At 33.6% G+C, this 13,978-nt stretch overlaps 1 long non-coding RNA gene across 2 annotated transcripts in view; it reads left to right on the top strand.

The window, feature by feature from the left end:
* The first annotated feature begins 119 nt into the window (after nucleotides 1-119).
* LINC01781 (long intergenic non-protein coding RNA 1781) overlaps nucleotides 120-13,978 on the top strand; it is a 111,034-nt gene continuing 97,175 nt past the window's right edge. The window contains exons 1-2 of one of the 2 annotated variants that reach the window (NR_125940.1): nucleotides 120-307; nucleotides 4,954-5,001. This is a non-coding gene — a long non-coding RNA (long intergenic non-protein coding RNA 1781). The remainder of the gene's footprint in view (nucleotides 308-4,953; nucleotides 5,002-13,978) is intronic. The other variant, NR_125941.1, reaches the window with a different exon arrangement.

Consider the following 13,978-nt stretch of genomic DNA (forward strand, 5'->3'; position numbering starts at 1 on the left):
TAATGAATAAGTTATTATCTAAACCCCAGGAGGTTAAATGTTAACAGAAAGGACTTCAACAATGATGTCTTAAGTGCTCCTAACTAGACACATAATGTTTAGTGTGCTGCCATTTTTTCTGAGTGTTAGTTTTAAATAGACTATTGACAAATTACAGATTTTTTTCACGTATTGAAATTATATTCCAGATGATTTTGAGATTTACTGGTATAATATTCTCCTCATGAGGTAGGATGGAAGGGAAGAAATAGAGAAAAAATGTTCTGCTCTGAAATAAATGTGGTGTTTCCTGACAGCGTTTGTCAAGGTAAGGTGTTGTCTTTAAAATGGGACATCTAGTTTCAATTTACATTATGCTTATTTCTAAGACTTCTATTTTTTGAGTTTTATGAGTAGATTCTGCTTTTCTCTATCATTTATTCAGATTATGACCACATGTGGCACTTTCTTGTATGGAGTGGTGAAAGTGGGGAAGGAAGAGAAAAGATATTTTACAGTAATGTCATATAGTAATCCTGTTAAGATTGGAGTTTATGAAAAAAAACACGAGATAAAACATTATTGTGATATTTCTTATATCAAAGTAGAATTTTCTTTCCCTCAATTATTTTTATGTTTTAAAAATGTTTTTCCCTCTTTTTGTCAAAGGCAGCCTCAATAATAGTTATCATATCTCAGTGTTTATGTTCTTAAGGCTTTCAATATTATTAATCAATCTTTCTATTTTTTTAGTAGATCACAAGTTTTAAAGAGTGTATTTTAATATAATACTCCTATTATAGGCCTATAAAATATTTAATTAAGAGAATATAATTTTCTTACTACGTTTCTGTGATTATTCATACCCCGCTCCCTCTTCCCAGAACACTTACTTGCTCCATTAGATTCTTACACAGGACCCTTTCTTTTTCCTATCGTAATTCCCAGCATAATGTGTTATCTCGCAGCCACTTTTTCAAAGTATATTTCCTTAGACTTAATTAGATTAAGAAAAGAGCAGTAACTAAGGCTTCTACCTCTTAATGAAAGCTTCCTTAGCTTTACAAATACCAGGCCAGATCTCTGAAGTTACTGTTTGAAAAGGCCCGATTCTAAAGCACTTTTATCCACATTTGACTCTCTTGAGGCATTTGTTTTTTCCACTTCAACTCACTTAATTGCACATGTCCCCAGTCAGACTGCCTAAAGAGAATGACTGTGTCTATCTTGGTCAGTTTTTACCCCAGCACTTAACACAGAGTCTCAAATAATGCAGGCAAACAACAAATATTTGTTATATTAATTCAGATTCTATATAACGTAGAAAGCAGAATCAATCATCAACGTAATAGATTCTGCTTAATTATAAAGAAATAATTTAAAATAACAATAATAATGATGATGATAGTTAACATTTATCAAATCTTCCCTAAGTGCCTCAGACTTTTCTAACCATTTTGTACAGATTAAGTATCACAAGTCCAAGAGGTAAATGCTATTTTAAACTTTACTTTATAGAGGAGAAAACTGATCACAGCAAGTTTGAGGACATAGTCTTTAGTCAAACACCCAGTAAGGGGTAGAGGTGATACTGACACTGTGTTAACACTTTTAAGCCTCTGACATTTTATTTGTAAAGCAGCTGCTTAATATATCTAAATAACTAAACCTCCCTTGCATTCCTTTTACTACCTATCATGCAGTTACTAATTCAATAAGATCTTTATTATGCCTTAATATTCTATATTTCTCTTCCTAATTTTCTTTTAGAGAAGTGAACTGTATACAAATGAACTATCCTAATCATTTTCAAGTTATTATGCATGCCCCTACTCATTTGTTAGAAAACTCTTTTCTCTTAATTATCTTTTCTCACAATAAATTGATTAAAGCTCATATTATACATATTAGTTTCTTAATTTCTTCCTGCTAAGATTAACCCATGATTATTTGAGAAACCTTCAGATTTGTCCTTGCAAACTTGAACTGCCTCTGGTTAATTGGTTCCTTCTACAGTTCTTCCTTTCTACCACTGACTTGCAGTTACCTCCAGTTATTGAGCAGCTACTTACAAAGTTATTTGATATTTGAATCCCTCTTTTCTAGAAGACATGCAATCTGTTACGCTTTAATTAGCAGGATTATCCTAGGCTATACCTGTCTTCTTCACTAACAGAATTTCTACCTCATATTACTTCTGATTATCAACAACTGGCTTTCTTAGCATCTAACACACTGGAAATTCTGTGTGCTTGATCCCATTTTTAACAGTGCCAAATTTAAATCAAATGTGGTTCATGTGGCAAGGATATTTATTTTTTCTATTTTTTAATTAGTTTTATGCTTTCAGTAACTAGTAGATCAAGATGCATTTCATACCCCTTAGAAACCTGTAGTTTCTGTATGGTAGAAGATTTAAATAACATTGTTATTTAGGGAGATGTGTTTTTGTTTTCTGACTGATTTTTTCTCCTCCAAATCATAAAGGCTTTGTAAATCACTCTCAACATTTTATGAAAGTGACTTGCAAAATAAGATACTTAAATGTAAAATCTTAGTTGTCAGCCATCAGTAAAATAGGCTGTATTGGCTGGGGTCACTCAGTTGCACAGTGTCATCTGGAAGTGAAGAATCCTTGGAAAGTTTTCTCTACTATCACCAAAAATTTTGGAAATCCATATACACATTCCTGATATTGATACAGATGGTCTTCCCAATAGTAAGGTATTTTACTTGAGACATTGAAGATTTATCTTGTTCTTTATAACAGTATAGATTGCTTAATTCAGCCAAGATATTTCAAAAGTTGGAAATTATATTTCCTCTATACCTGACCCAACAATATATTTGTAATTTTGAGTGACATTTTGTTTCTTACACATGAACTGACAATGCATCTTCTGATCAGTAAAGAATGCTAAATTGTGTTAACCAAATGCCCTACATGTTAAATCTATTTCTAATTTTCAAAACAATTTACAGTGTCTACTACTTTTAATTCTAAATATGTAAAATGCTCTAAAAATGTACGTTAAACACTCATCACTGCTTCTAAAACCTGCCTCCATTGATAGCAACCTGATCCATTTCACTATCATTGTTTTCCCATATTACTAGTATGATAACTAGTTGCCTTATTATACCCATGATGTATTCCCTGCAGTCTGTTCTCAACATAGAAGTCAAGTGAGTTCATCCCTTCTTTGCTCAAAACCCTAAGGGCTTCCTATCTGAGTAAAAGAGACAAATTCCTTTTGATGACAAGATTATTTTTAATCTATTCTTCCATAACTTCTTTGACTTCACCTTCTTCTAATTTCCTACTTACTCTTCTCCAGTGCCATTGGCTTACCTGTGCTATTTTTTTTATTCCTTTTCTTTTCTTTTTCTTCTTCCTCTTTTTTCTTTAATAAAAATAAATACAGACAAAATTATTTTCCCTTGTTTTTATTTCTGTCTAGAATGTTGCTCCCCTCAGGGGGCTCACTTCCTCTCCCACGATAAGAGAGAAAAACAGGAAGGGTAACTTGGAAATAAGTTAGTTTTAGAAGCTGTGAACATCTAATTTTTAATAATCTAGGATTGAATTACGATAGATATTTCTTAATACACAGGATTATTTTCAATATCAGTCAACATGAACATTTGAAAATAAATGCTTGATGTGATGTATAATACAGACCATCCTGCTTAATATGCACACTAATCCCCTTCTAGTATGTTTTCTTCTGCTGAAAAGACTGGAAAGATTTTTTTATTTTTATATTTTTTTTGAGACAGAGTCTCGCTCTATTGCCCAGGTTGGAGTGCAGTGGCGCAATCTCGGCTCATTGCAGCTCACTGCAACCTCTTCCTCCAGGGTTCAAGCTATTCTCCTGTCTCAGCCTGGCTAATTTTTAAATTTTTGTTATTTTTTTTTAGATGAAGTCTCGCTCTGTTGCCCACATTGGAGTGCGGTGGTGCAATCTCAGCTCACCACAACCTCCGCCTCCTGGGTTCAAGCGTTTCTCCTGCCTCAGCCTCCCGAGTAGCTAGTATTACAGGCACACACCATCATGTGCAGCTAATTTTTTTATTTTTTGATAGAGACAGGGTTTCACCACGTTCGCCAGGCTGGTCTCGAACCCCTGGCCTCAAGTGATCCACCCACCTCGGCCTCCCAAAGTGCTGGGATTATAGGCGTGAGCCACTGCGCCTGGCCACTAATTTTTGTGTTTTCAAGTAGAGATGGGGTTTCTCCATATTGGCCAAGCTGGTCTTGAACTCCTGACCTCAAGTGATCCACCCCCCCTCAGCCTCCCAAAGCGCTGGATTACAGGCGTGAGCCACCGTGCCTGGCCAAGATTTTTTTTTTAATGCAATGTATAGTTTCCCTTATAATTATGGTTTTGGAAGTAAGACTTCGATTTAGAGCTTCATGGAATGAGAGGCAGGACAGAAAGTGTCCATTTTTGCTGCTGGAGAGTGTAATATTGGTGTGCAGTTCTGGACTAGCAAATATAGTTGAAATGTCCCAATTCTATAGTTAGCCTTCTGATTCCACATCTTGCCTAATCATGGTTGGCTGAGGCAGCAGTCTCCTTGATGGTCAAGTTCTAAAGTGTGCCTTTGTGACTAATTGCCTGTGATAAGTCCCTTTGTCTTTAAAGTAGAACAGATTTTGTTCTCTGTGACACTGCGGACTGAAACAGTTGGTGTGTTTTTTAAATTTTTTTTCTTAAAGTGCAGAAGATTGCATTATCTGTTAAAATATGCCTTAATCTTTGTGATCTGAACATGATACAGAACTTTGGGAATATGCCAGCATACAAAAACATTTTTGTTTAATCATGACATTTAAACTAACCCTCTACCAAGATAAAAGGAGAAAGTGATGTACTAGTAGAGCAGAAATCCACTAGATTGGTTCAAGTTTATATAGCATAAAGGAGTACTACCTTTTGTAACCTCTTTGATTTTTTTCTGCTTTTGAAGAAGGAAAGGTCGAAAATAAAGCACTGATGGAAATACATGATAAATAAGGTAGGTCTCATGGCTACACATCATGAAAAACTAAGCACAACATTAGAAAGAGGAAAATGTGTCAAATATATTCAGTTAACTATACTATGTTAAGATTAAGATATACTACTGTGCTGGAAACACAAAACATCAAGTATTTCACAATATGATAAAATCTTTCATCCCTGCTAGTGACTCAAATAAGTATGTGTTCCTTGCCATTTACAGAAAGGGCATGTCTTATTATTTCTCAATATTATGAGTATGTCAAATGCATCTTCACATATATGTTAATAAAATCTTGAGCAGGTCATCCTTTGGACAGTGATTCTATGTATTTTCACAATGGATATGCAAATGTAGTTATACATACATATATATGAACAATAAATACATATAAACAAATCATCATTTCATTATCATCATCATCATCATATCTTAGGTGTTTAATGGGCACCTATTTGCTTTGAAGTTCATTATGTAATGGAATTCAGGTAAAAAAGCAAATGGCTTCTCATTGTAAGCAGCTTGAAGTATATTTAAGAAAAGAAAACATAACATTTTTATTTTATGGTTTACTGGCTTACTCTCTACTACTCACCATCAGAAGTAACAGAACATAATTTAGCATCCTGGAAATTATATCTAAAAAAGATATTGCAGTAATCTATGGTGGGTATATATGATTTAGCAGAATCACCTGAGACTAAGACATGTGGATTTAATATAAAGTAAGATAAACTTGATATGATCATCAACAATGTAATGAAGTTTGAGGCTGAAATGCCAGAATTATAATATTTAAAACAAAAGATAATCATTTTATTGTAGTTAAATAATACATTTAGTTCTAAATATAAGACACACACATACACACACAGACAGATAGATGGATGGATGGATGGATAGACAGATAGATAGATAGATAGATAGATAGATAGGTAGATAGATAGATAGATATTCTCCTGGAATATTTTTAGGCAAGAAAAATAAGTATAACTAAAATACCTGAAACTCTGAAAGCTTGCTTTGCCCAGAAAAAGGAAGACGATGGTAGAAAGGATCAGGAAATAGTTGCCAGGTATGAAAGCAATTTGACATATTTAGTCTCAATTAAAAACAAATAACTTTCTCTTAGAGATGTCAAGAAGTAAAATATACTTAATCAAAGGATACCAAGCTATCTGTCAGAGGAGCTGTTCAAGCAAAATTTATTTGACAAGTGGGTTGAAATGATTCAAAGGAAAGCCCGACCTCTGAAATCTATCGGACCAAACTTTAATTTCCCTTTCAACATCAAAATACTATGCTTTTGAAACACACATTAAAATAAGCATACAAGTCAATAAATGCCAGTCACAGATAATTTGTAAGTGCTAAGAGAGTTTAGAGATGGTAGAGAAAATAACTTCTATGGTGGAAAAAAAGCCTCAAAAAAGTAATGGGATTTTAATTGGACCTTTAGGGGAAAAAAAGGAGTACATGTTGCAAACATTCCAATAAAGGGAAGACATCTGATCAAAGATAAGAAAAACCCAAATATGTGTAGAATTTTCAGGGGAAAAAAATGATAAAATATTCCATTTGTATAGTTTATACCAATTTTCAAAATTCAAAACAAACATTACACATTTTATTCTCATAGTGTCCCTGTAAGGAGATAATGTTACCTACACTGCAAAAAGAAATGAAAACTTAGGCTGGTCACAGTAAAACTGCAACTAGGACCTGTACTTTCTAACTTGCTTACAAGTGTTCATTCATTCTACTCTATCTTAAATGACATTCCATGGAGCAGAGTGTAATCTTCTTTTCATAGTAGATGTATATATGAGTCACATCTTGGAACTCGCAAAGAAGTTCTAAATTTTGAGCACTGTGTAATACATATTTATTGTCCCACAATTGAATATGTGTTTGCATGGGAAATATGTTTCTTTGAAGGTATTCTTTGAATCCAGTTATTTCAAAGACAAATAAATTATATGCCATTATGGCTTCCTTCATGTTGCATGTACAGCTATTATAAAATCCTCTTGTGTTAAAGTTAAAGCAATTCATATAGTAGTAGTTATTGTTGAACTTTTAAGATGCTATGCTTATTTTTGCTATGTGGAGGGAGAAAGTCCAAGCCTTCTATTTATGTTCCATCTCCCTGGAGCACCCATCCCCTTGTTCTTTTTGCCTGAATAACTATTATTCATCAAATCTTAGTTTAAATGTTACTTCTTCAGGGGAGTCTTTCTGAGCCCCTCTTAGAGATCTAGTAAGTTTCCCTTTTGTATGTTTTACAGCACTCTGTATTTCCCATTTGTAACATAAATCATAATTGTAACTAAATATTTTGCAGAGTTATGATTTGTTTAATATCCAATGTCCTGAAAGACTGAGTTCTAAGAGAGCAGGGACTTCTTTCCTCTACATCCCCAGCAACAAACACAACAACGTGCACCTGTAGACACCTAACTATTTTTGAAGCAAATGAACAAATGAATGAGTGCTAAAATTGAGTGAACCATTAAAAAAAAAGTGCTGATGATCTTTTAATTAGTAATTATTGTTAAGTGATAAGTTTCATTGCAGCATAATTTCTTATTTTTTTCTTAGAAGCTGTTTCTGTTGAAATTTAGTAAGATCCTCTTTTCAAAACAATAACAAAAATGAATATATTTCCCTTAGCACACTTTTCATAAGGTGACTCAAGAAATTGGGATATCCTGTAGAATATCAGGTACAGCAAGTGTTGGAATTATGCAGCAATCACAGGATGGAATTTTTGAAACATTTTTAGATGAGTGTAAAGAAAAGAAACTGAATGTGTGCTCCTGACACAGGAATAGGTATTTAATAAAATAAACATAGTTTATAGATCACATGAGGCCTTTCTGTGACTGAAAGTAGAAGCATTGGCTGATTTTAAAAAAAAAAAGTGAAAGTAATTGTGTTTATTTTCATTAGTTTAGTCACTCTTAGTTAAGACTTTGGTGTAGGCTACCTCTCCACAGGATGAGCTTCAGTGAAATCATATTTAAATGCAATCGCAGCACTTCATTAATTTACATACATAAATTATAAAATATACACATATACACAGTCCCATCTCTAACAACCTTTTTACAAAATGCTACTTGAAAAAATTTTAATAACGTTAACCTTTCCAATGACAAATGCTTTTTCTTCTTATATGTACACAAGTCATCAGACAAATTTACCAGGGGTGTTCCACAAATAATGAGGAAGGATACCATTTGTGTTCATAAATTTAGTCAGTTTGTCTAGGTGGAAGGATCATATATCATAAGTCTATAATTTTATTTAAGGTATGTGGTTTACAGACTTCTAATAAACTTGATATGCATTAAAGTAGAGAAGAGTAAGCAAAAAAAAGTTTTCCTAAAGATCCAAGTAGTTTTTGATAACTGTTTAGATGAATAATAATCTCACTAGAGGTGATATTTCACATATAAAGATATTGAGATACATGTTCAAAATATCAATATGTTGCATAATATTTAAAGCATATTCAGTAACAACAGTTTAAAAAAATTCTAATGAGATACATCTCACTAAGTACATTTATAAATGGAAAAGCAAAATTTAAATGGCGTTTGAGATTGATTTCATGCATTCTATCTAGTATTATCATTTTATCTCAATACACAGATTTCCACAGAGATATATAACTAGGTCATAATACAATCTCCACACTTATTACTAATTAATTATGTGCAAATGGAAAGAGCACTGATGGCAAAAATTTGCCAACCCAACAACACTTGAACCATGGAGGGTTACATTGCCAAGTGTTGAATTTGTCAGTTCTCAAATTATAAAAGATTAAGTCACAGACAGTATTCATATTACTGCATCATATCTGTAAAAAACTTATTATGATTTATTAATGTGTTAGTCGTTGGTCATCATTAACCCTATAGAAAGTCAAAAGTGTCAGTCAATTAATCCCTATTAGAGGACTAGCCATGGAAAAAACCCTTGGATGTCTCAATCACCTAACATAATAAATTTTTATGGCCGCATTTACTTACAGTAAAATACACTCTACCAATATGTAGCTAAAATATTATTGAAATATAATGCTACTACATGAGATATGGATGGCAGACTAATTCATTGAGACATCAAAATTATAGTGGCAAAGCATTTTATGTGTTGTATAATTCTTGCACTGTAGCAGCTTCTTTTTTTTTTTTTTTTTTTTTTTTTTTTTAAGATGGAGTCTCACTCTGTCACCCAGGCTGGAGTGCAGTGGCACAATCTCCGCTCACTGCAACCTCCACCTCCCAGGTACAAGCAATTTTCATGTCTCGGCCTCCCGATTAGATGTGATTACAGGTGCCTGCCACACCATGCCTGACTAATTTTTGTATTTTTAGTAGAGATGGGGTTTCTCCATGTTGGCCAGGCTGGTCTTGAACTCCTGACCTCAGGTGATCTGCCCGCCTTGTCCTCCCAAAGTGCTGGGGTTAAGGCGTGAGCCACCACGCCAGGCCTGATGTAGCAGTTTCACTTGGTTATTAAATCAGTAAAAGTCTAGGAAAATGGTGACTTTTCTTAATAAAATCTCTCTGCTATGCGCCCATGAGGATGAACAGTGAGCAACTGAATTTATTTTGTAATGTCATAATTTGTCTTGTGTTGAGAAGACAATATAAAACAAAGGTGCTTCTGAGCTCAATACTACATTGTTTATGATGAAACCAAATATTACCTCTTCTAGTTCAGGCAGTTGTTATCTTGGTAATACCCATCCTAAGTCATTAAAACAGTAATTGAAAAATACTTGTTAACTACTATAATTGTAGGTTTTATTATTCATCAAAATAAAGGACTGCTCACAAAGTACATCTTGTGTCATTTATGACCAATAATTACTACACTACAAAGCAATTGAAAATACCTATTTCCATGAAAAATAATTGTAAATATATTTATTAATATAGTTCTAATGGATTTTAAATGAAATAGCACAATATGCAAGAAACTCATATTTGCCTAATTCATCCCCTGAAAGAGCTAATTGGAATTCCTTGAGCAAACATTATTTTTAAAAATATCAAACCCAAAGTAAGTACTTCTGTGAAAATAAAAGAAAATCAAAATAAATGGCTTTCCCGGAAGACAAAGAAATATGTTCTAATATTTGAAAAATAAATATCAAAAACACATTACATTGCTCCTGGCTGTAATATATAAAATGTGATCTCAATGTACTATGAAAACTAAGAAGGTGATTGGCTATTGTAGAGTTTGTAAACTACAGTAGGATCTGTGTTTCCTGTAAGTTAATGTCATACATTCTAAATTGAGATTTTTTTAAGGATTGTACAATGTAACATAATTAACTTCCATATGCTATGAATAGCTCAATATTATACGACAAATCCAAGAATTACAGAGTCAAGAGATTTAATGTAAAAGTTAAGGGTATTTTCTAATTAATTGATACTTTAAAAGTAAACCTATTTCAACAAAACAAATAAAATGACAAAATAAATGCAAAAGCAGTTTTTAAATTAAAAACAATTTAAAGTTTGAAAAAGTAGTATTCAACTCTTTCTCACTTTCTTTGCCCACGTTTAATTATGAACTATTAGAATATGAAAGCATTATTAACCACTATAAATCAGTGTAAAAACCAGTGGTATAGGTTAGGAGCTACATTTTTGAATTATGTTTAAAGCAGTTGAAAAGGGTGAAGGATTGTGTGGGAAGTGGTGAGGGGCTGATGGAATCAGGCCAGGTTTTGCTGGACTCTTGCCTACAGTTATAATTAGATGAGTTAAACCTTATTACTGGTACAGAATGTATCTCTTTTAGAAGGAATTAAGAATGTCCTTAAAATTTTACTCAACTCAACATTTTACCTATTAAAAGCATCTAAGTTACTCCTATCAAGTAGATACAACTTTATGTCCACACCTAGAGATAGGTGTTGATATGGGCCACTTTATTTGTAATGTAATGGGCATTTTTAATGTAATTATTAATTCAAGGAATGGTTATGATCTTAAGTGCAGCAGAGTAGAACAAGACACGATGAATCAAATATATCTTAGTTCAAATTCTCACTCTATCATTAATGTGTGGAGTGGCCTTGAAAGTTCTATAACATGCAATACATTATTCATCAGCATGTCTGTTTTATTCACAGCTGATAATGCCTACAACGTAGGTTAGTGTCTGACACATGCTAGGTTCTCACTGAAAACTTATTCCTGGCATGCAATAACATGAAATCTTATCCTTTAAATCATGCATCAGCTCTATTAATGTTTAATATGAAGCAAAAATGACAGAAGTCTTTGGGAAATAGTCTTCTGTAATTCGGTACTTGACATTTGGCCCCTTAAGAGGCTTCAGGGAATCTCTAACACTTTTATGTAAAATTTACATGTTATGTAAATTTGTATATTCTGTGTAAATTTTCTAGAGTTTTATGACTTCATTGTTTATTGAGATACCTGTTTCAAACCTCTTCCATTAACTTGCTGAACTTCTTTGTGCTTCAGTTACATAAACTTGAAAATTATAGAATGAATGAGAAATTAAATGAAGTAATATATGTAAAGTACTTAAAGAATGACTGGTATATAGTAAAGGTGTCAGAGGCATGTGAACAAAAACAACTTCATCTTGAGTAGGAGCTGGGTAAAATGAGGCTGAAACCTACTGGGATGCACTCCCAGATAGTTAAGGCATCCTATATCACAGGATGAGACAGAAGGTCAGCACAAGCACGGTGGCTCATGCCTGTAATCCCAGCACACTGGGAGGCCGAGGCGGGTGGATCATGAGGTCAGGAGATCGAGACCATCCTGACTAACACGGTGAAACCCAGTCTGTACTAAAAAATACAAAAAATTAACCGAGCAGAAATCAATGTACTTTACGTTCTTAGCTCCCACAATTTAGCCTAAATATTTGCCCTAGCATTCTTATACTAGTCCAAGCAGGCATTAGGTCATAGCCTGTTCCTCTTCCTTATCTGAAGATGTTTCTACCTTTCTCAGCATTCCACAAATTACTTCCTCCTTCCTTTGTTCTCCTCTGCCTTTGCCTCGTTTAAAAAGTTCTAAGTTGCTAGACAATCAGAACAAACAGAAAATGTAAAGTCCCGTTCCAGCCAATAAAAACCAGACATGGCAGTAAGGTGGACACATCAGGTTATAAATGACCCTGTCTCCTTTGTTCAGTGTACTCTCATGACAAAACTGCTAGCAAGTGTACCTTTTCTGCAGAAAGTAAAAAAAAAAAAAAAAATAGCCTTGCTGAAAAAAATAAATTTATGTTCAAGTGCTATTTCTTTGTGACATCAAAGAACAAACATTTCTAACATGGACCAAACCAATGTATTTCTCAAATGTATTTGATGTCTCATGCCTATTTAAAATGTATAAAAGCAAGGTGCATCACAACCACCTTGAGCACATGTTCTCAGGACCTCCTGAGGGCTGTGTCATGGGCCACAGTCACCCATATTTGGCTCAGAATAAATCTCTTCAAATATTTTACAGAGTTTGACTCTTTTTGTCTACACAACAAAGGTTAAAAACCACTGTTATGAGTAATAAGAATGGAAATTGTAGGAAAAAGATCTCTAAGATCTCCCAAATTTTTCTGTTTCATAAAAACAATGAAAGCACTGGCAAAAAACATTTTACTAGAACTCTAGAAAATAATCTAACATGTGCAACAATCCAAGGATCATTTAATGAAGAAAAGCAGTTTAATCTTGTTTAAAATAGTGAATTTTGTGGTATTTTAACTTACCTTATTTTTATCCTCCTCTTTCCAACTTCATGGTACTCTTGAAAGTCAACAGCTCACAATTACGGTGACAATGAGCAGCCTAGCAGCCACTGGAGATGACTTAACAGATTTGTAGCTCTCCTAAATTCCCTGGAAAACCCAAATCTCAGTATTTGCTTTTATTTGGCCTGTCTTATAGATGTGCTAATATAATCAGTCCTTTCCCAAGGGACAAGTGTCAAAAAAAAAAAAAAAAAAATCAGTAGCAGTTGTTTAACATCACACATGCCTGGGGCAGTGATAGCAGTTGAGGCTAACAAGAAGCTGAACAAAAACTTAAAAGGAAAAGAAGAGAATGAGATTGCCATAAGAGGATTTAAAAAGTTCTGACAAATTCCTGGGAATGCTGAAAGACACATTAATTCATACGGCTGTTCACACACCAAAGAAACACCTGAAAAGTTTTGAAGATTTCACCTCTGGCTGACCTTGGCGCTTTATGAAAGCAAATAGTACAGGTTAAGGAAGAGTTTAAACAGCCTACCTGAGTGTTGAAGGCATATCCTAAATCACTGGATCCCCTTGCCAAAGGCTAGGACACTTGTTGGCTTTCAGTCATTTAAGAAAATCTCTGTCTAATTATTAGCCAACCACTAAGCTAATTAAACAGAAGCTTCAATGGCAACATATTACAAACAATACAAACCATAAAGATTTAGCTCAGGAAAGTCATGAAACAAATAGCAACATCAGCAAGCTCTGGGTCAAAGAGAAAACTTGACTTCCAGAGATGCCACACAATATTAATTAAGATGTCCAGTTTTTTAAAATACAAGACATAGAAATAAAGAAGTATGGCCTGTACAGGAAAAAAATAAATAAAAATAAAAAGGAGTCTCATGTTAAAAGAACTAAAGGAAATTATAAAACAGTACCTCATCAGCTAGCATATAGAAAATACTATTATAATAAAATGATTTTTTAACAAGAATCAAGTACAGATTCTGGTGTTGAGAAGTATAATAATTGGAATAAAATATTACTAGAGAGGCTCAACAGAGCATTTGAGCTGGCTGAGGAAAGAATCGTAGACTTTAAGATAGGTCAGTAACTATTATCCAGTCATGGGAAAAGAAAGAAAAATAATTAAGAAAAATGGGTACAGCCTCAGAGACCTATGACATATAACATTAAGTATACCAACACACACACAATAGGAGTTTCAGAA

Source organism: Homo sapiens, chromosome 1 (genome assembly GCF_000001405.40).
Source record: "Homo sapiens chromosome 1, GRCh38.p14 Primary Assembly".
Lineage (NCBI taxonomy): Eukaryota > Metazoa > Chordata > Mammalia > Primates > Hominidae > Homo > Homo sapiens.